The sequence below is a fragment of the Homo sapiens genome, chromosome 5 (genome assembly GCF_000001405.40).
Source record: "Homo sapiens chromosome 5, GRCh38.p14 Primary Assembly".
In the NCBI taxonomy this organism is placed as follows: domain Eukaryota; kingdom Metazoa; phylum Chordata; class Mammalia; order Primates; family Hominidae; genus Homo; species Homo sapiens.
In genome coordinates this window covers 705342-727904 of record NC_000005.10, presented here as the reverse complement: position 1 = coordinate 727904, position 22563 = coordinate 705342, and the positions used below count along the sequence as shown (strand labels likewise).

General features: G+C 44.7%; 1 protein-coding gene across 13 annotated transcripts in view, besides 2 other annotated features; it reads left to right on the top strand.

Annotated features, from left to right (window-relative positions):
- The window catches only part of ZDHHC11B (zDHHC palmitoyltransferase 11B (putative)), a 74375-nt gene extending 56825 nt beyond the window's left edge, over positions 1-17550 (top strand). For 11 of the 13 annotated variants that reach the window (NR_147095.2, NM_001351303.2, XM_017010111.2 and 8 more), the window contains 2 exons: positions 11040-11104; positions 15623-17550. Coding sequence is in view for 1 of the 13 variants with exons in the window: in NM_001351303.2 (NP_001338232.1) it covers positions 11040-11097 (58 nt within the window). In the remaining 12 variants the exon portion in view is untranslated. The remainder of the gene's footprint in view (positions 1-11039; positions 11105-15622) is intronic. The other 2 variants (NR_147096.2, XM_047417580.1) reach the window with 1 other exon arrangement.
- Positions 171-671: an enhancer, noted in NCBI's record as "H3K4me1 hESC enhancer chr5:727349-727849 (GRCh37/hg19 assembly coordinates)". NCBI's record gives its function as "activates a minimal SCP1, AML or CMV promoter by ChIP-STARR-seq in primed H9 embryonic stem cells {active_cell/tissue: H9 hESC(primed)}" and the evidence as "EXISTENCE:reporter gene assay evidence [ECO:0000049][PMID:30033119]".
- Positions 18738-19291: an enhancer, noted in NCBI's record as "NANOG hESC enhancer chr5:708729-709282 (GRCh37/hg19 assembly coordinates)". NCBI's record gives its function as "activates a minimal SCP1, AML or CMV promoter by ChIP-STARR-seq in naive H9 embryonic stem cells {active_cell/tissue: H9 hESC(naive)}" and the evidence as "EXISTENCE:reporter gene assay evidence [ECO:0000049][PMID:30033119]".

The following is a 22563-nucleotide window of genomic DNA, read 5'->3' as shown; positions in this document are numbered from 1 at the left end:
GCTTTAAAAAGTCTTTCTTACTCCAGGGTTATACAAAAATCATCCAGAACTCTTTGCTGATATTTTTATAATTTTTCTGTTTTGACTTTCCTTATATTTTGATTTTCAAGCCATCTTCAACTTATTTTTGCATACAGGGAGAGAGCTAAGGTTACTTTATCTCGAAGACTTAAGTAATGGTTACCACCTCGTTTATGAAACAATACACCTTTCCATCTAATTCAAAGGCCCCCTTTTCTAGTGCTTGCCATAAGCACTAGACTCAGATCTGTTTCTACACGTTTATTTCTGCCTTGTGGATCTGTGTCCTAAACCGTGCTGTTTTAATTACTGGACCTTCTGAGCTACATTTTAATGTCCGACAGTCACTTTCTCAGGTTTTTTCATTTCTAAAAGTTTTGACAATTTTTAAACTTTAATTTTTTCATATAAGTTTGTTTGAAATTTATATGGAAAATACATTTTGTTTCGGTTCCAGGAAACCTGGAATTTGGAGCAAAGTTATATTAAATATACACCTCATTTTGAGAGTGGCCGATAGCGTTTCCCTGGCATCCCAACTCCGCTGGGAGCCACAATAAGGACCCAGAAGTCAGTCTCCCCCAGGTGGGCAGAGGATGGAAGTTCCTGCCTTGCTCTTCCTGAGTTGCCCCAGAAGCTCCGTCCTTCACGGAAACGTGCTGGGGGCAGCGCCAGAGTTCCAGGCCAGGGAAGGCCAGCCGGGTTCTCCAGCTCAAGAGGCAGGCAGCTTCCTGGGTCAGAAAAAGTAGCCCAGGAGAAGTGCCCCATTCATCAATTTCTCAAATCTGAGAATTGCTTAAGAGTTTTGCCTAGTTTCAGCAATCAAGGATTACATATCACTTAGTGTGAAAATGCTCTTTCACACAACCCATTAATTTTCCTTGTAAACTGGTTTTCTTTGATTTAGTGAATTCAGGTTATTCTGAATTTTACTTTGAAGTATAGCCTATGGTTCTATTATTAGGTAAAAACTAAGACATTTTCTCCTTTATCCATTTCTGGCAAGAATGATAGAAAATTAATTGTGACCAGGATTGTAAACTTTCACTTTGAAAAAAAATATATGTTTTATCAGTACACATTCAAAATAGAAAATTGGGAAGTTACAAACATTCTTGGTGTAAAAACCTAAGTCACTCACAGTCCCCCCACCCACCAATGGCTACTGCAGGCATTTTGATTGGCACCTCCTGCAGCTTCCCTTTTAACATTTTTTCTGTGTATTAGACCCATTTTCTAAATGAAATTATCATTTAATACACCTCTTTAGGCACCTGCTTTTTAAACTCTACATTGTTGCGTTAAAGATGGGCATAAACCACTCCATCTTTAAATCATATTCCTCTTTGTTGGAAGCCTTCTTCATTTCATTCAAGTCTTCTCCACAGGAGAATGAGCTAACCTTGTTGAATGTGAAAAGTGTTATACCAACACCACACGAGTTTACAAAGCCTCTAGATGCAACAGGCGATAAGTTACCATTAACCCTTTTTTTGTCACAGAATATGCTTCCAGGGTCACCTAACAGTTTGGATCCAGCTGGTCCACCTTATAGACTCACTCACAGCCTTCTACTTCAGGCTCTGCCTGCTGCGCACATTACAAACATCTGTTTCTAGCGATCAGGGACTTTGTTTAAATCATGTCACGCTTTGCCACACGGGGAAAGTCCATTCACTAAGAGCCTGTGAGGTGTGATGTTGCTAATCACAGGTCTGTTTTGTGGGAAATGTGTAGGGATTTATAGTGTCTCTAGTGGTGGATATTAGACAAACCGATGGGGGATATTCTGGTCTGCGTTTTGCTGTGGGATGTCGAAGGGAATGGGTGGACGTAGCTGACCAGCTGGAATGAAAGTGGGAACAGGGAGCAGGATTTCGCGTGTGAAGACCCTAATCCCCAGCGCCTCATTCAGTGGCTTGTATTAATTTTCCACTGGAGGTTGGAGCTGTTCCTTTGCATCATCCCCCTGCCAAGCATCCAGGGTGCTTTCCATGTAAGCGTCATGCCCAGGTGGTGTCTGTTGTGTAGTATACTCCTGAGCACTCACGCAGCCTCCCAGGAGCTGCCTGTTCCTGGGATCTGCTGACAAGCAGAAACCACGGTAATGGTGCTTGTCTGGAACTTTGGAGCCTTAATGGCCTCTTGTGAGCTCCTCCCCAAAGCGAGACCCTGCCTTGCTGACACATGGTCTTTCCTTCCTCCCGCGCTTCCTAGAAGAGGGGATCATGAGGAGCTCCTGTCTCCCTCCCAGGGCTTGAGCCTGAGCCCCGCTGCTGTTTGGCCTCTAGAAAGGACCTCGTCATCTGGGGTATCCCCAAAGCCGCTGGCCTCTTCCTTCCAGTGGGCAGCACAGAGCCTTCCTCCACAGTGGAGGTTACAACAATATTCCGAGTTGCTCGTTTGACTAATTGTAAGCATTCCTAGGTGTTTGAGTCTGTTCAGCCTGCTTCAACAGAAATACCACACACCGGGGGCTTAGGCAACAAACATGTATTTCTCACCATTCCAGAGCCTGGGAAGTCCCAGCTCAAGGCACTGGCAGATCCGGTGTCTGATGAGAGCCCCTTCCCGGTTCTCCGACGGCCTCCTCTGGTTGTCCTCACACAGCAGGGGAAGTCCCAGCTCAAGGCGCCGGCAGATCCGGTGTCTGATGAGAGCCCCTTCCTGGTTCTCCGATGGCCTCCTCTGCTTGTCCTCACAAGGCAGGGAGTTGAGAGTGAGATCTCACTCACATGCGTGTTCTGAAGGCACTCACGAATCCTGTCATCCGGGTCCCACATTCGGGAGCTGACACCAAAGGCTCCGCTTTATGACACACAACGCTGGGGTTAGGACTTCAGCCTGTGAATCTGGGGACACAGGCTCACCATCTACAGGAAGGGTCCTGAAGGGTGCTGCTCCAACAGCAACAAAGGCCCAGAAGTGCCGTGTGTGCATCTCAGCGAGGGGTGCAGATGTCTGCAACCAGTCTGAAATGCGGCAGACCAGAGTGATGGGCAGACAGTTATGTGATGGGGTGGAGGACAAACATTAGCCCTGGTCGCTTCCAGGTGCTGGGTTCAGGTTTTGTTTGTTTTTTATTTTTTTGTAAAGCCTTTTCCAGTCCTGTTTATGTTTGAAATTTTAATAAAATATTGGGAAAACTGCATATAGGAGACAGGTGGGGAATAAATAGTATGCATCTGTGTGTCTGTGTGTGTGTGTGTGTGTGTGTGTGTAACTGATGGTCAAAAGATGGAGCATGTGGGGAGGCCGAGAAAGCAGATCAAGAGGACAGGAGATCAAGACTGTCCTGGCTAACACGGTGAAACCCTGTCTCTACTAAAAATACAAAAGGATTAGCCAGGCGTAGTGGCAGGCACCTGTACTCCCAGCTACTCGGGAGGCTGAGGCAGGAGAATGGCGTGAACCCAGGAGGCGGAGCTTGCAGTGAGCCGAGATTGTGCCACTGCACTCCAGCCTGGGCGACAGAGCAAGACTGTCTCAAAAAAAAAAAAAAAAAAAAAAAATTAGCTGGGTTTGATGGCATGCTCCTGTAATCCCATTCCTCGGGAGGCTGAGGCAGGAGAATCGCTTGAACCTGGGAGGTGAAGGTTGCAGTGAGCCAAGATCGTGCCACTGCACTCCAGCCTGGGTGACAGAGTGAGACTATGTCTCAAAATAAATAAATAAATAAAAAAGATGGAACACGTAAGTGTGTTGGAGACACATGCAGACGTCCAAGGGGAACTGAGTGAGGGAGCCTGGAAGTGGGGCATGGCTGGGAGCACTGATGACACAGCACAGGATGTGTGGACAGGTCTGAACCCACACCCAGAGGACAGCTCAGGCAGAGCAGAGGAGCTAGAGAGGAGAGGAGGGCAGATGCAGCTACCATAGGGCTGTCTCTCTGCACCGAGAGCTGAGCAGTCATACAGCCAGCAAAGGGTCTAAGGCTAAGGGTGCAGGTCCTCTCAGATGTCCTGCGTGCTCCCTCCCAAGAGGCTGCACAGCGAGGGGGAGGCTGCGCAACTTGACCCCTCCCATCCCCATGGGGCTGCAGTGCTCAGTTTTCCTTCTGTGGCACCAGAGATTCAGAAGGACCCACCTGAAGATCTAGGGTTTGTCTTTCAGTCCACTTAGGAGAGCCCCATTCTGACCACGGAAGGTCACACTCTGGCCCTTAACCCCAGTGGCCACAATCACTGAGAGTCTGATGGGGACTGGCCTGCACCCCCAGACCCCGCCTGTGGCCTTCTCTTAGCTGCAGGCTCAGTCCAGGACCTGCGTCTGATCCTGTTGCTCTGATACCCCCAGAGGCATCCCAGGCTGACCTCTCTCACTCTTCACAGGAATGCAAAGCTCCTCTTAGCAGAGTGATCAGAAACTAATTGGCACCGTAACCTGCATTTGGACTTTGGCATCAGACAGACCTCGTTTCTGGGCCAGTGTGGAGATGCTGCTGGTTCTATAATCTCATAAGTTTTTAAACCACTCTGAGCCCCTATTCCTCACAAGGAAATGGGAACATATTAGTATCTCTTCCCAAGAAGGTTGTGTGTGAGCTCCTGGAGTTGTGAACATCACTGCCCAGGGTCTGGCTTTGGGATGCCCAGTGAATGGTGGTTGCCTCTTTCCCCTTGTTTTGGATCCCAGGTGCCCAGAGTCACACGAATCCCAATCCTGGGTGGGAACAGATTCATCCTTGATCTGTGAGTGACCTGCTTCCTTCATTGACTCCGTATTTTGTTTATTTATGATAGTGGAGGAAGCACCAACAACAAAAGCGGAGTCTGAATCATCTTTATCTGTTGATGGGGCCCCCATTCCAAGTCCTTGCACCCCGCTCATGCTCTTCATTCTCTTGCTTTCCTTCAAATTTTGTTCCTTAGATATCTATATAGATATAGATGTATATTCCTAAAGAGTACATACATACGTGCAATACATTGAATACTTTTTCATTTTTTTTTTAACAGAAAGGACATTGTGCGTATGTAGTATCTGGAATCTTTGAGGAATCACCTTTTTCACTTAGTACTAAATTGCCAAGGTCTGTCCATACTGCTTGTCGCTGTAGTCTGTTGGCGTTTGCTTCTGTGGCTGTTCCACCCCGTACCACACTTAATTACCCCCTCTGCTATGGTTGGGCATGGAGATGGCTTCCAGTTTTTTGCTACCCAGCTGTGCTGCTTGATCTTGACAGATCTCCTGTTGTACAGGTGCAACCATTTCTCCAGGGGCTATTCCTAGTGGTGCAATTGCTAGAATGTCCAGCTCTCAGAGATAAGGCCACTGTTTTTTAAAGGTGTTGCACATGTTACACTCTCACAGCAGGGTATAAGAAGTCCTATTGCTTCATGTCCTCTCCAACACTTGGAATTGACAGTCGAGTAGTGTGAACTGGTGGCTTATTGTGGCCTACTTCAGTATTTCCCTCATTATTAATGAATCTGAACACATGTGAGTCATACGAGTTTTCTCTTCCATGAAGCACTTGCTCATGTCCCTAGTCCATTTTTCCACTGGACTCTTTGTGCTTTTCTTATTGATTTATATGAGTTTTTATATATTCTTTATACAAACCTTTTGTCAGTTGGGTGAATTACAGATAGAGTCTGTCCACGTGCAGCTTAACTCCATGTTTAATTTAATATACCATTCTAGAAACCAGATCATGCATTACAGTATAGTCATGTTTATACATATTGTATAAGTAATGCTTTTTGGTCTTGATTAATGAATCTTTTCACCAAAATATCCAAAAGATAGCCATCTATTATTTCTACTAAGGGTTTTCAGTTTTGATTTTGAGAGCCGAGTCTTTATGTTTGGTTGATTTCAGTGTATGGTGTGAGGTAGAGATCTAACTTCATTCTTCCCTCTATGGATTTGTATTGTTTCCAGCTCCATTCATTGAGCAGGTCCTCTCCCCACTGGCATAAAAAGCTTCTTCTGTCCTGAATTCCATTTATGCACATATTTGAGTCTATTTCTGGGCTGTCTAGTCAATTCCACTCATCAGTTTTGTCTATCCCTGCACTAATTTCTTATCATCTTACTTCCCATAGCTTAATAAGTTCTGAGAAGTAAGTACTCCCTCTCTCTCCCACGAAAGGCTCTAGTTATTCAGTATTATGGTCACTAGCCCCACTCTTTCCTTTCCAGTGCCTTCCCCAATTCTCCCACCTGCCACACCTCTGGTGTCCTGACGTCAGACCCTTCTTATCTCCTGTGGGGTGGCAGAGGCTAGCTGCTTGCTGTGTGGGGTCAGCAACATGTTCCATATATGGACACTTAGCTACCACCCTTGTGCTTAACCTCACATCCCACCCCCATCCTCGCTCCTCACCCTTGCCCCTGGGACCCTCCATATCTCGGGGCCCGGGAGCTTCTCTATTACTCAGTAAGGAAGACAACCTCCTTTAACTCAGCATCTTTGTCCACAGGCACTTCAGCTTTTTAAAAATCCAATCCACCAATCTCTGACTTTTAATTAAAAAGTTCAATCTATCTATCTATCTATATATATAATGTTTAAAGTAATTACTGATAAGAAATGATTCACTTCTGCTATTTAGCTTTTTGCATTTTGTATATCATATATATTTTTATTTCTCAATTCCTGCCCATTTAAAAAATCTTTAGTTGAATGTTTGTAATGTTCCATTTTGATCCCTTTGTTCTTTCCTTTTTTGTACATTTTCTAATTATCTTCCTAGTGGTTATGCTGGGGATAATAATTAATGTCTTAAATGTATAACACCCTAGTTTGAATACCAACTTAGATTTTTTTTTGAGACAGGACTCAGTCTGTTGCCCAGGCTGGAGTGCACAGTGATAACTCACTGCAACCTCCTACTCCTGGGCTCAAGCAATCTTTCCACCTCAACCTTCCAAGTAACTAGGACTACAGGCACACATCACCACACTTGGCTAATTTTAAATTATTTTTTGTGGAAATAGGGTTTCAGTATGTTGCCAGGCTGGACTTGAACTCCTGGTCTCACATGATCCTCCCACTTTAGCTTCCCAAAGGCTAGGATTACAGGAGTAAGCCACTACAGTCAGCCCCAACTTAGTTTCAATAGTACACAAACACTGCTTTTATCCATCTCCATCCCTCACCCTTTATATTGCCATTGTCATTGATTACATTTTTATACAGTGTGCACCCATTAACAATATTTATAATTATTGTATTATGCATTAGACTTTTAAATTATATAGAAAAAAAGAGTTACAAACCCAAAGTACAATATTATTGACTTGTATATTTACCTGTGTTCTTTATTTCTTTACCAATGTTCTTTATTTCTTTGTATGGTTTTGAGTTACTGTCTAATGTCTCTTCATTTAGGACTAAATAATTTCTTTAACATTTCTTTTAGGGTAGTTCTACTGATAAAGAATTCTCTCAATTTTTGTCTATCTGAGAATGTCTTAGTTATTGCTTTATTCTGGAAGGATAGATTTGTCCCATATAGAACTCTTGGTTGCCAGGTATTTTCCACCTTCCAGGGCATTTAAATATGTCACCCCACTGCCTTTGAGCCTCCTTAGTTTCTAATGAGAAATCACCTGATAATTTTATTAAGGATCTCTTGATTCTGATTAGTCACTTCTCTCTGCCTGCCTTCAAAATTCTCTCGTTGTCTATGCCTTGACAATCTAACTGTAATGTGTCTTAGCGTAGATCTTTTGGCATATAGCCTGCTTGGAATTCGTTGAGCTCCTTGGATGTGTAGATTCATTCCTTTAATTAGATTTGGAAAGTTTTCAGCCATTATTTCTTTAAATAGAGTAGTCTCCTGCTCCCCCATTATCTGTGGGGAATACGTTCCAAGACTCTCAGTAAGTATCTGAAACTGTAGATAGTACCAAACCCTGTATACACTATGTTTTTTCCTGTACATTAATGGGCAGATAGTGTATACTGCATGGATATGCTGGACAAAGGGATCATTCATGTCCTGGGTGGGCAGAGCAGGGCAGAATGACATTTCATCATGCTACTCAGAACTACACACAATTTAAAACTTGTGAATTATTTCTGGAATTTTCCATTTAATATTATTGGACTGTGGTTGCCCAGAGGTAACTGAAAGTGCAGAAAACACAACTGCTGATAATGGGGGAACACTGTATTTTTTCTGCCTCTTTCCTTTTCTCTTCTACTTTGGAGACTCCTATGTTGCATATGTTGGTACCCTTGATGGTGTCTAACAAACCTTTCAAGCTCTGTTTATCCTCTTTCATTCTTTTTTTTTTTTTCTGGTCCTCAGACTGGATAATTTCGGTTGTCTTCAAGTTAGCTGATCCTTTCTTCTGCTTGCTCAGATCTGTTGAACTCTTCTAATGAACTTTTTATTTCAGTTATGTACTTTCCAGCTCCAGTTTCTTTTTGGTTTTTAAAAAATATATAATTTCTATCTCTACTACTAATCTAATTTGCTCATATGTAATTTTCCTACTTTATTTAGTTGTCAGTGACTTCCTTTAGTTTACTGAGCATATTTAAGACAGCTGATTTAATGTCTTTGACTAGTAATTCAAATGTCTGAGCTTTCACAGACATAGTTTATGCCAAGTCTTTTTCCCCTGTGAGTGGGCCATATTATTCTATTTCTTTATATGTTCTTTTTTTGTTAAAAACTGGATATTCTGTGTATCATAATGTGGTATCTCTAAAAATCAAGTGCTTCTCCTCCTCTGGGACTGTGGATTTTCTCTTGTTAAAGGCTGGAACCATCAGTTTGTGCCCTTTCCAAAGTAGTTTTGCAAAATGTGTATTTCTTGTCACTGAAGTTGCTCTTCCTTTATCTCTATGACCAGTTAGTGAACTATCAAAGATTTCCTCAAATATCTAGCTACAAACAAGGGGGTACTGTGTGTCTCTCTAAATCTTCCAATGGTTGCTGCTGGAGGAAGCCACTGCTGCCAAGTGGATCAAAACCAAGGCAAGCCTCTGTATTGATCCCTCAGGGCACCACCAGACTAACCAAAATGTACCACCTCAAATTTATTGAGGACAAGGTCCCTGACGCTCACTCTGACATCAGCCAGCTGCTCCAAGAATGTAGGTTGCTGCCCTTATAGCCACAGGAAGACTAAGAAATCGAGGCGGTAGCTGGCTCATGTACACCATTCACGAAAGACCAGCAGCTTCTCCTTTCTTTTTCTTTTTCCTTTTTTTTTTTTTTTTTGAGACAGAGTCTCGCTCTGTCGCCCAGGCTAGAGTGCAGTGGCACAATCTCTGCTCACTGCAAGCTCCACCTCCCAGGTTCACACCATTCTCCTGCCTCAGCCTCCCGAGTAACTGGGACTACAGGCACTCACCACCACATTCAGCTTTTTTGTTTGTTTGTTTGTTTTTGTATTTTTGTATTTTTAGTAGAGACAGAGTTTCACCATGTTAGCCAGGATGTTCTCGATCTCCTGACCTCGTGATCCACCCACCTCAGCCTCCCAAAGTGCTGGGATTACAGGTGTGAGCCACTGCACCCAGCCCAGCTTCTCCTTTCTTCAAGCACTCTCCCATACATGTCTGACTAGGTTTCAGAGTTTCCAAATAATTCATTGCAATTGCTCTTTATAGCTCAATGGTTGTTTCAGTGGAAGGACCAGGCTCTATAGCTTTCTACAATACCATTTTGTCCTTAGGTAAACTTCCTCTGCATTTTTATATACATACTTACACACACTTTTACAACACAGTTATCTACATTCTTCCCCACCAACCTGTATGTCTCACAATCCTCCACCATTTCACCTATCATACTTTGCCATGCTTTTATTTTCATTTGAAATTAATATTTTCTTTTCTTTTTATTCTCAGTAATTTTTGGATTCATTTGGTGATACCCCAGTTCTCCTTTACTTACTGAGTCCTGTCACTTCCTTCTGTGTAATTTTTCCTTGCACTTCTCTGTGTCTACCAAGACTACTGCTCCCCCTGCAATAATCTGGTGGCAGACCCTCCCATTGTTGCCTATAGTTTGGGAAGTTTTGCAGCAGCAGTCACTGCCTGGCCGCTCAGCCTACAAGTCCCCCAGCTAATCACCCCATCAGGAGCCCTGCCCAGCTGAGCATCCACTGCTCCTCCATGGCAATTCCTGGGGGTCTCTTCCAGGTTCTGCAGCACACTCCTGACCATGGCCTTCTGCATCAGCTCCCATTTGCATCCTTTCCTCCTAGGAGTCATCATTTCTGATCCAAGAAAGGTTTCCCTCTTGCTTTTCTTTGATGTCCTGTCCTTACTCATTTATGGATCCGTTTATATCCTGATTATAATTTTTAAGGATTGGATCAGAGAAGGGAGACTATAGCATGTGATGGATACGCTGTTTTGATTTAGAAGTCCCTAGTGACTTTTTTGCTTGTGGGTCTTTCAAAATCTTTCAAAGCAAAATTTTGCGCGTTTCTGGTCTCTAATTCCTGACACATTCAGCGTTGCAACTTAAGCCGGATCCCCAACCCTCTGGAAAGTCTGGGCAGCAACACGGTCACCTCTCCTGCCAGCTGCCCAGCACACATAAACAATCAAGTCATTGGCTGGCTGGGCTAGTGTAACATCAGGGCAGAGAACAAAACACCTGTACTCAAGATGTGGGTATAAAAACACTTAAGGCTCCACGATAGCAAGAACTCACCACAATCAAGCAAGAGTTGTGAGAAGAAGGTACCAGGCATGAGCTGACCTCCTGTGGGCCCCACATTTCGCCACTTTTCATGCTGGAAATCCAAACAAGCTTCCTTGGCTACCACAAGACCCTCTTATTTATCAGGGAAAGCACACTTTGTCTCTATATCAGCACACATGCAGAAGAAAAAAGCAACATTCTTTCAGCAGTGCAGTCATGTTACTGTCTTCACAAAAATGAAGGCTCTGAAACTCAGAGAGGTGAAGTGATTGCCCACGTCACAAGCTAATCTCTAAAATGTACTCTTGTTTACACATTTTGTGCACTTTGGCAGTATAACAAGTATTACATCATACGTTCTCTGTTGTCTCTCTTTCTGAATATTGCAAACAGGCTGCAACAAGAAACAACAGAGCCCATGAAAACTGACAGTGCTGAAAGTGAAGACTGAGATTCGGGTAAGATACGTGGCAGTGCAGGTCATGTTGAAATCTACCCAAGTTTGGTTCTCTAGAGAGTGAAATATCTTCTTTAAAAAATCACCAGTGCAAACTCAAGGGCTGGGCTGCTTGTCGTTTGTCTCTTGATGTCAACAGTAACCCCAGAACAGGAACCGTGTGTCCATCTTTAGAAGTAGTGCATGGCAGCCGAGCTGTGAGAGTATCAATTCATCTTTATTTTCTAGGCAGTAAACAATGTATAGATTGAACACTGCTCATTTCCATACTTGCCTTTAAGTCTAAACTAAGAATTATTTTCACCCAATTGTACTGATCTAAGAACTTTAAATAATGAACACCTGCCATTTTAAGATGGTTTCTGATTAGATGCCTCTGATCCTACCTATCCCTGCTTTCTGCTCAAACATTTAGGACGATCCATAGAATGCAGTGAAATTTAACCGTGAAACAAATGATCATTTACTTTCAGAATCAGGGGGAAAGTTTACTCACTAGAAGGCTAAAGGAATTTGCTATCAGGCACACACATGAGTTGGCAAACCATCCAGACATGCTCTGCCATCAGAATAGGTAGACTGAGCACTTGAAAACAGAGGGGCATGCTCTCCCTCCACTACTATATCCCCTCAGCTAAGAAACATGAGACATGATTGTACCTTAAAATGAGACTGCAACCCTTTCTCTAAGGTGTTACCTTGGCTTTCCAAGGCAAAGCAAGCTGCTTTACACCCTGAAGTCTACCGTTCAGTACCTGCCTTCTCACAATGCTTCAGAGAGGCACCTCCCAAAAGCTAGCTGGACAGGAAAAGGGTATAGGGCATACTGTATCCTGAAAGGCATGATCCATACAAGAAAAGCCCTATGATCGGGCAAAACATCAAAAGCCCTGGTATCCTCAGAGTTCCTGTGCTCCAGGCAGCTCCCACAGCCGTCTGGGTGCCATAGAGCCCTGAGGAATGTCAAGGTCTCCCAGCAGCACAGCCCTGACCAGCACCCTAGAGGACAAGAGGGCAGGACTCATGGTTCTGTGTAAATCCTGTGAAAATTTTGCAGAACTGGGAATAGACATCACCTTGAAAGCCCAGAGAGACAGCAAACCTGTGAAAATTGTTCTCTAGAAAAAAGGCGTTTGAGATGCATAGCACGGGGTCTTCATGAGGCAGGAGTCAAAATCATAATTGGAGACAAGTTGAGATGAGAAGACAAATCCACTGAGATTGAAGGGGAGATGAATGAGATGTGGAAAGATTGCAAGAAACTGACCATGAAGTTGCAAAATTAAAATCTTTCAAGGAAAGAAGAAGTAAATTGGTGCTGTAAAAAATTGTCTCAGTGGTATGGAGGACAAACTTAAGAGGCTACAACTTGAGCTCATGTAGAATGTCTACAGAACAGCACCTGAGTCTACGTGCTCCTCCCACCATTTCCTTTGTGTGGAACAGTGAAATGGCTGAGGAGTAGCAGAGCCTGAGAAGTGGAGCTGGACGCTTGGCCGAAGCATCAACTTGCAAATAATCTGCAAAAACTGACAGCTTCTGTGGACATCCTTCCATGTGAGCATCAAATGGAGCTGTGGACTCCCTTCCGTGAGCAACAGTGACTAACAGTGATGGACACAAGGCGTGTCTTAGTCTATCAGTGTTACTACAAAGAAACACTTGAGCCTGGGTAATTTATAAAGAAAAATCGTGTATTTGGCTTATGATTCTGATGGCTGAAAAGTTGAAGATTGAGCTCTGCATGTGGTGAGGGTCTCAGCCTTCTTCCACTAACAGCAGAAGGTGAAGGGAGCTGACATGTGCAGAGATCACATGGAGAGAGAGGAGGCGAAGGGCTGGGGGAGGCTCCAGGCCCTTTTCAACAACAAGGTCTCATGGGTTGGTTAGAGCAAGAAGTACTAGAGCATGAACTCACTCCCTTCAGAGGGAGGGCATTAATCTGTTCATAGGGGGTCCAGCCCCATGACACAAACACGTCCTATGAGGCCCCATCTCCAACAATGGAGATCAAATTTCAACATAAGGTTTGGAAGGGTCAGATGTCCAAACCACAGCAAAGAGCAAGCTCCCAGGGCAGAGCTTGATTAGTGATTGAAACAAGATGGCTCAGTGTGTTTTATAGAAGCCCAAACTCAGCCAACCACAGCTTGTCTGCTGAAGTTGCAGATAATTTCAGGTCACATTCTTTATCATTTTCATGCTCTTTATCATTTGCATTATTTTTGAATGAGGCTAAATCATTTCAAAAGCATCTGGTCTTCCTAGGGTGCTTTCGAAATGAATTAGCCTCATTCAAAAAAAAAAATATTCACCACTAAGGTTTTAAACAGCAAATGTTCGCTGTGATAACGTCTTAGAGTTGTGAATTACTGTAGAGCACACAAAACACTTCTTCAGTATTACACCTTACCCCTCCAAAGTGCCTGTGGTGTAGGAGTCAGTCACTCCTATCTCTAGAAAAGGATGGTGGCTAGGAGAGTTGTCTGATTTTTACATAATCCCAGAAAGTACTTAAGGTAGATTTTAAAGATCGTGGAATACAGACCGATGGCATAAAGGGAAAAGGGAGGGGAAAGAAAGAAGGAATGAAATGAAGCCAGAGGTTCTAGTCATGTGGCAAGTCACTTACAAGGATCGGACAATGCTCCGAAACTGAGCAAGTTAAGGGTGTGTGTGTGCACGCGTGCGCGTGTCCGTGTCCATGTGAGTGCGTGTGTAAATATTCTTAAAGGCATTAATGAACTGAGGAGACATAAGGAATTCTCAGGCCAGGGTTGAAGGCACAGAGGAACCCAAAGAGAAATCTAGTGGGGAGTGCAGCTGGCCTTTGCCCTGAGGGCATTTGTGAAACCTGGTCAACTTCATTTTCACCTTTTCAGGAGGTACAAAGGGCAGATCAAGCTGAGAGCACAGCCAAAATGGCAAGCCAATCAGTAATCTCTTAAAGTAAGGGCCCCCAGAGGGCGGTACCCTCATTGCAGTGGCAAACTAGAAGCAACTCACTTCTCTACCCGCAAAGGAATCAGGGGGGATCAGTCATTTCAAGCCCTAGAGCTGAAAGAAAAAGAGAAAAATCACTGCCGAGTATTTGGAGCAACAGGTTCTCCCTAAATTTGTGTGAGGTGGGTGACCAAAAGTCCCCAAGCTGAGAATTTAATAGAGAGTGATTCTGAACTGGTCATTCCCAGGAGCCAAGCATAATTCCTTCTGAGTAACAAACCTTCATCCTAAGCCTCAAAGATTTCTCACAAATAAAACTACAAAGCAAAGAAGCAATTCTCAATGAAAAACAACCCACCACATGTGAAAATAAAGCACTGAGTGAGAAGCAGCAGAAAACATAGTAGAAACAGACATAAATATTTCAGATGTTGAATTTGGCAGACCAAAACATAAAGAAAGAAAACACAAAGTCAGAAATATCTGAAGAGAACAGAAAACTATTTTTTAAATTACAAAGCAGATTTGGAAAAACACCAAATAAAACTTATGAGAAATATCACTGATTTTTTTAAAGTGGATGGATTTAACAACAAAATAGACAGTTGAAAAGTGAATTAGGGAACTAGAATCTAGAGCTGAAGAACTTACTGAAATAGATACAAAGTGACAGAAATGCAAAATGTGAAAAAAATGAATGAGAATACAGTTTGAAGGCTATGTTATGTTTAGAGTCCCAGAAAGAGAAAAGAGAGAAAATTGGGAAGATGTCATATTTAAGGAGATTTGGCTGAGAATTTGCCAACATTGTTAGAAGACACCAACTCACAGATTCATAAAGCCCAGTGAATCCAAGAAGGGGAAATAAAATTCTAGACACAACATAATTCAATTGATAAATGCCGTAAACAAAGAATATATATATATATACACACACACACATATGTATTTAGACAGAGTCTCGCTGTGTCACCCAGGCTGGAGTGCAGTGGCCCAATCTTGGCTCACTGCAAACTCCGCCTCCCGGGTTCACAACATTCTCCTGCCTCAGCCTCCCATGTAGCTGGGCCTACAGTTGCCCGCCACCACACCTGGCTAATTTTTTGTATTTTTAGTAGAGACGGGGTTTCACCGTATTAGCCAGGAAGGTCTCGATCTCCTGACCTCATGATCCACCCGCCTCGGACTCCCAAAGTGCTGGGATTACAGGTGTGAGCCACCACACCTGGCCAAAGAAAATATTTTTTAAAATATCTAGTGATAAAAGATGGGTTATCTTTCAAAAGGATGTATTTCCGAAGAATAACAATAGAAAATGGCCTCTGTCGGTGATGCACTCATCTCTAAGTTTTCTGGAAGGATGGGGAGGGCAGGAGCCTGGCTCGGGAGGACTCTCACTAGACCCAGCTGGGAGTGGGGCTCTGTGTCTAAGCCAAGGTGATGATCCACGCAGAAACCAGCCCTGCCTCTCCAGGCAACAGGTTGGGGTAAAAGCCACCGGTGGGTTTCCATCACAAGTAGAGCTGAGCTTCCTCCCTGGTGGCTGCTCAAAGAGTGACTTTGTTTTGTCCTGCAGGAGCTCAGGTGCCCCTGTGATCCAGGTCTTCTACCCTGAAACCCCACCCTCCATCAAGGTCCTGCCTGTAGAGTCTACCTTGCAAAGCCTCCTGCTCCTACCCATGCTACAGGCCAGGAACCAGAGCCCATCATCTCAGAGGCCCCTGGATGTCCTTCGAAGGAACCAGGACCCTCAGAGCCCAGCATCCATCTCTGTCATCATCTTCATCACACCCAAAGAAGAGCCAGCCTTGCAGGAGGGTTTACATCTCCAGGAAGATGGGCTGCCAGCAACTGCAGAGGATGCAGCCACCTGCTTAACTGTGCTGTCCAGCCAGCCAGCCAGCTGCAGGGCCTCTTGCTGCTTAAGAGCTGATGGGCCGGGCATGTTGGCTCACACCTGTGAGCACAGTACTGGGAAATGGGAGCATAGTACTGGGAAATGGGAGCACAGTACTGAGAAATGGGAGCACAGTACTGGGAAATGGTAGCACAGTACTAGGAAATGGGATCACAGTGCTGGGAAATGGGAGCACAGTAATGGGAAATGGGAGCACAGTGCTGGGAAATGGGAGCACAAAGTACTGGGAAATGGGAGCACAGAGTACTGGGGAATAGGAGCACAGTACTGGGAAATGGGAGCAAACAGCACTGGGAGATAGGAGTATACAGCACTGGGAAATGGGAGCACGGCACTGGGAAATGGGAGCACAGTACTGGGAAATGGGAGCACAGTGCTAGGAAATGAGAGCACAGTTTTGGGAAATGGGAGCACAGTACTGGGAAATATGAGCACAGTACTGGGAAATGGAAGCACATGGCACTGGGAAATAGGAGTATACAGCACTGGGAAATGGGAGCACAGTACTGGGAATTGGGAGCACAGCACTGGGAAATGGGAGCACAGTACTAGGAAATGGGAGCTCACAGCACTGGGAAATGGGAACATAGTACTGGGAAATGGGAGCACAGTACTGGGAAAGGGGAGCCCACAGTACTGGGAATTGGGAGCACAGTACTGGGAAATGGGAGTTCACAGCACTAGGAAATGGGAGCACAGTATTGGGAAATGGGAGCACAGTACTGGGAAAGGGGAGGGCACAGCACTGGGAAATGGGAGCATAGTACTGGGAAAGCGGAGCACAGTACTGGGAAAGGGGAGCCCATAGTACTGGGAAATGGGAGCACAGTACTGGAAAATGGGAGCTCACAGCACTGGGAAATGGGAGCATAGCATTGGGAAATGGGAGCACAGTACTGGGAATTGGGAGCACAGCGCTGAGAAATGGGAGCTCACAGTACTGGGAAATGGAGCACAGTATTTGGAAATGGGAGCACAGTACTGGGAAATGGGAGCTCACAGCACTGGGAAATGGGAGCATAGCATTGGGAAATGGGAGCACAGTACTGGGAATTGGGAGCACAGTACTGGGAAATGGGAGCTCACAGTACTGGGAAATGGGAGCTCACAGTACTGGGAAATGGGAGCACAGTATTCGGAAATGGGAGCACAGTACTGGGAAATGGGAGCTCACAGCACTGGGAAATGGAGCATAGCATTGGGAAATGGGAGCACAGTACTGGGAAATGGAAGCTCACAGTCCTGGGAAATGGGAGCATAGTGCTGGGAAATGGGAGCACAGTACTGAGAAATGGGAGCACAGTACTGGGAAATGGGAGCCCAGTACTGAGAAATGGGAGCACACAGTACTGTGAAATGGGAGCACAGTACTGGGAAATGGGAGCATAGTACTGAGAAACCCCAGACCTGGATTCTGAGTTTTTCAGTCTAGCCCAGACTTCTTATCTTAGTAGACAAAAAGAGTCAATACCAGAGAACCAGAGGCATCCTCTGTATTTTAATGAACTCTGCGTTTTAGTCTGTTTAGTAGTCATATTTTAAAAGATAATCAGTTTTCTAAATATATCTATAAGTTACTACATGCATTGGGCTGTTTTTGTGTTTCTGTAAAGAAATACCTGAGGCTGGGTAATTTATTTAAAAACATAGGTTAAACTGGCTCACAGTTGTGCAGGCTGTACAGGAAGCATGGTGCTGGCATCTGCTTGGCTTCCGGTGAGGCCTCAGGAAGCTTCCATCATGGCTGAAGGTGGGGTGAGAGCCAACACATCACGTAGTGAGAGCAGGAGCAAGAGAGAGTGGTGGGGTTGAGGGGACGCCAACATTTTTAAATGACCAGATCTCAAGTGAACTACCAGAGCAAGGACTCACTCATCACCAAGGGGATGGCACTAAACTATTTATGAGGAACCTGCTCCCATGATTCAAACACCTCCCACCAGGCCCCACCTCCAACACTGGGGATTACATCTCAACATGGGATTTGGAGAGGACAATCCTCCAAGCTATATCATTCCATCCCTGGTCCCTCAAATCTCATGTCCAGGTCACCTTGCAACATATAATCATCCCTTCTCAATAGTCCCTGAAAGTCTAAACTCATTCCAGGATCAACTCAATCAAAAATGCCAAGTCCAAAGTCTCATCTGGAGATGAATTCCTTTCACCTATGAGCCTGTGAGATCAGAAACAAGTGATTTACTTCCCAGATACAATGGATACAATGATGGTACAGGCACTGGGTAAACATACTTATTCCAAAAGGAAGAAATTGGCCAAAAGAAAGAGGCTACAGGCTCCAAGCAAGTCTGAAACTCAGCAGGGCAGACATTAAACCTTAAAGTTCCAAAATAATCTCCTCTGACTCCATGAGGCACACTGGTGTGAGGTGTGGGCTCCCAGGGCCTTGTACAACTCCACCCCTGTGGCTTTGCAGGTTGTGGCTCCTGTAGCCAATCTCATGGGTTAGAGTTGAGTACTTGCGGCTTTTCCAGGCTGAGGTTGCAAGCTGCCAGTAGATCAAACATTCTGGGGTCTGGAGGGCAGAAGCCCTCTGCTGACAGCTCCACTAGGCAGTGCCCTTGTCGGGAGTCTGTGTGGGGCTCCAACCCTACATCTCCTCCCAACATTGCCCTCATAGAGTATCTCTGTGAGGGCTCTGCTGCTGCAGCAGGCTTCTGCCTGGGCACCCAGGTTTTCCCATACATCCTCTGTAATCTAGGGGGAAGCTGCCAATGCCCCTTCACTCTTGTGTTCTGTGTTCCTGCAGATTTCACACCACTTGGAAGCCAGCAAGGCTTGCCCTCTAGAGCAGCAGTCCACACTGTACCTGGAGACTGTTGAACTACCACTGTAGCTGAAGAAGTTGGGGTACAGGGACCAGTGTCCTGAGGCTGCACAGGGCATCAGGGCCCTAGTCCTGGCCCATTAAGCCATTCTTTTCTCCTAGGCCTCTGGGCCTGTGATGGGAGGGGCTGCTGCGAAGATCTTTGAAATGTCTTCAAGGTCTTTTTCCCATTGTCTTGGATATTAGCACTTGGCTCCCTTTTAGCCATGCAAATCTCTCTAGTAAGTGGTTGCTCTGCAGCCTGTTTGGATTCCTCTCCTGAAAACATTTTTTTCTTTGTCTACCATATGGCTAAGCTGCAAATTTTCCAAACTTTTACACCCTGCTTTCCTTTTAGGTATAAATTCCAACTTTAAGTCATTCATTTGCTCCCCTATCTGATCATAGGTTGTTAGAAGCAGCCATGTCACCTCTTGAATGTTTAGCTGCTTAGAAATATCTTCTGCCAGATGTGCTAGGTTACCATTCTTAAGTTCAAACTTCCACAGATCACTAGGACACAAATACAATGTAGCCAAGCTCTTTGCTAAGGCACACAAGGGTGACCTTTGCTCCAGTTCCCAATAACTTCCTCGTTTCCATCTGAGACTTTCATGCGCGTCCGTGTGAAGAGACCACCAAACAGGCTTTGTGTGAGGAATAAAGCTCTTTATTTCACCTGGGTGCAGGTGGGCTGAGTCCAAAAAGAGTCAGCAAAGGGTGGTGGATTGTCATTAGTTCTTATAGGTTTTGGGATAGGCAGTGAAGTTAAGAGCAATGTTTTGTGGGCAGGGGTGGCTCTCACAAAGTACATTCTCAAGGGTGGGGAGAATTACAAAGAACCTTCTCAAGGGTGGGGGAGATTACAAAGTACATTGATCAGTTAGGGTGGGGCAGGAACAAATCACAACGGTGGAATGTCATCAGTTAAGGCTATTTTTACTTCTTTTGTGGATCTTCAATTACTTCAGGCCATCTGGATGTATATGTGCAAGTCACAGGGGATGCGATGGCTTGGCTTGGGCTCAGAGGCCTGACATTCCTGCCTTCTTATATTAATAAGAAAAATAAAACAAAATAGTGTTGAAGTCTTGGGGCGGCGAAAATTTTTGGGGGGTGGTATGGAGAGAGAATGGGCGATGTTTCTCAGGGCTGCTTCAAGCAGGGGTAGGGGCAGCGTGGGAACCTAGAATGGGAGAGATTAAGCTGAAGGGAGATCTTGTGGTAAGGGGAGATATTGTGGGGATGTTAGAAGAAACATTTGTCATATAGAATGATTGGTGATGGCCTGGATACAGTTTTGGATGAATTGAGAAACTAAATGGAATAAGAGAAGGAGAAAAACAGGTATAAAAGGTCTAAGAATTGGGACGACTCAGGATATCTGATTAGAGAGTGCCTAAGGAGATTCAGCATAGTCCTGCCAGCAAAGATTATTTATTTACTTCAAGAGTTAAGAGTGGCAGTTTGGGGATAGCACAAGGAGATATCAGCTGTGATGGCTTGGAGAAACAGTGTAAACTGGCAGTGTAAACAAGAGCAGGGCATGTATGAGTACTTGAGAACAGAGAATAGGAGTATGACTAGACAGAAAATAGTAGGGATGACAAGTTTTTTTGGGGCACAGTCTAAGTTGGTCTGGTGTCTGGAATGAGACTGGGGCCTAATAAAAAGGAGCTCGAATGGGCTGTACCTTGTAGCAGTCCGAGGACAGGCCTGAATTCTGAGAAGGGAAAGTGGTAAAAATATTGTCCAGTCCTTTTTAAGTTGGTGGCTGAGCTTGGTGAGGTGTGTTTTTAAAAGACCTTTAGTCCGTTCTACTTTTCCTGAAGGCGGAGGACCGTAAGGGATATAAAGGTTTCACTGAATACTAAGAGCCTGAAAAACTGCTTGGCTGATTTGACTAATGAAGGCTGGTTTGTTATCAGACTGTATAGAGGTGGGAAGGCTAAACTGAGGAATTATGTCTGACAGAAGGGAAGAAATGACTGTGGTGGCCTTCTCAGACCCTGTAGGAAAGGCCTTATTCAGTGAAAGTGTCTACCTAGAGTAAGAGGTATTTTAGTTTCCTGACTCAGGGCATATTGAGTAAAGCTAATTTGCCAGTCCTGGGTGGTGGCAAATCCTCCAGCTTGATGTGTAGGGAAGGGAGGGGGCCTGAATAATCCCTGAGGAGTAGTAGAATAGCAGATAGAATAGCAGATGGAACACTGAGAAGTTATTTCCTTGAGGATAGATTCCACGATGGAAAGGAAATGAGAGGTTCTGAGAGGCGGGCTAGTGGCTTGTACTATAGCGTAGCCTGCCTTTGCTGGTGTGTGGCGATTAGGCCTGGTGGAACCACCATCAATAAATCAAGCGTGATCAGGGTGAGGAACAGGGAAGAAGGAAATATGGGGAAATGGGGTGAATATCAGGTGGATCAGAGAGATACAGTCATGGGGGTCAGGTGTGGTATCAGGAATAATGTGGGAGGCTGGATTGAAGTCCGGCCCAGGAACAATGCTAATTGTGGGACTTAAAGAGTGAGTACAGCTGAAGGAGCCGGGGAGCAGAAAGTATATGCATCAGGTATGAGGAAGAAAATAGATTTTGGAAGTTATGAGAAATGTAGAGAGTGAGTTGAGCATAGTTTGTGATTTTTGAGGGCCTCTAACAGTATTAAAGCAGCAGTAGCCACTGCACGCAGACCTGAGGGCTAGGCTAAAACAGTAAGTTCAAGTTGTTTGGACAGAAAGGCTACACGGTGTGGTCCTGGCTCTTGTGTAAGAATTCTGACCGCACTAACCACGCCTAGGAAGGAAAGGAGTTGTTCTTTTGTAAGAGATTGAGGTTTGGGAGATTAATCCGACACGATAAGCAGAGAGAGCACATGTGTTTTTATGAGAATTATGCTGAGATAGGTAACAGATGAGGTTGAAATTTGGGCTTGACTGAAGTAATGGGGACTGTCTCTGAAGCCTTGCGGCAGTACAGCCCAGGTAATTTGCTGAGTCTAATGGGTGTCAGGGTCAGTCTAAGTGAAGGCAAAGAGAGGCTGGGATGAAGGGTGCAAAGGAACAGTAAAGAAAGCATGTTTGAGATCCAGAACAGAATAATGGGTAGTAGAGGGAGGTATTGAGGATAGGAGAGTATATGGGTTTGGCACCACGGGGTGGATAGGAAAACAATTTGGTTGATAAGGTGCAGATTCTGAACTAACTTGTAAGCCTTGTCTGGTTTTAGGACAGGTAAAATGGGGGAATGGTAAGGAGAGTTTATAGGTTTTAGAAGCCCATGCTGTAGCAGGCGAGTGATAACAGGCTTTAATCCTTTTAAAGCGTGCTGTGGGATGGGATATTGGCGTTGAGTGGGGTAAGGGTGATTAGGTTTTAATGGGATGGTAATGGGCATGTGATCAGTTGCCAGGGAAGGAGTAGAGATGTCCCATACTTGTGGGTTAAGGTGGGGGGATACGAGAGGAAGACGCGAAGGAGGCTTTGGATTGGGAAGAAGGGTGGCAATGAGATGTGGCTGTAGTCCAGGAATAGTCAGGGAAGCAGATAATTTAGTTAAAGTGTCTCAGCCTAATAAGGGAACTGGGCAGGTGGGGATAACTAAAAAAGAGTGCATAAAACAGTGTTGTCTAAGTTGGCACCAGAGTTGGGGAGTTTTAAGAGGTTTAGAAGCCTGGCCATCAATACCCATAACAGTTATGGAGGCAAGGGAAACAGGCCCTTGAAAAGAAGGTAATATAGAGTGGGTAGCCTCCGTATTGATTAAGAAGGGGACA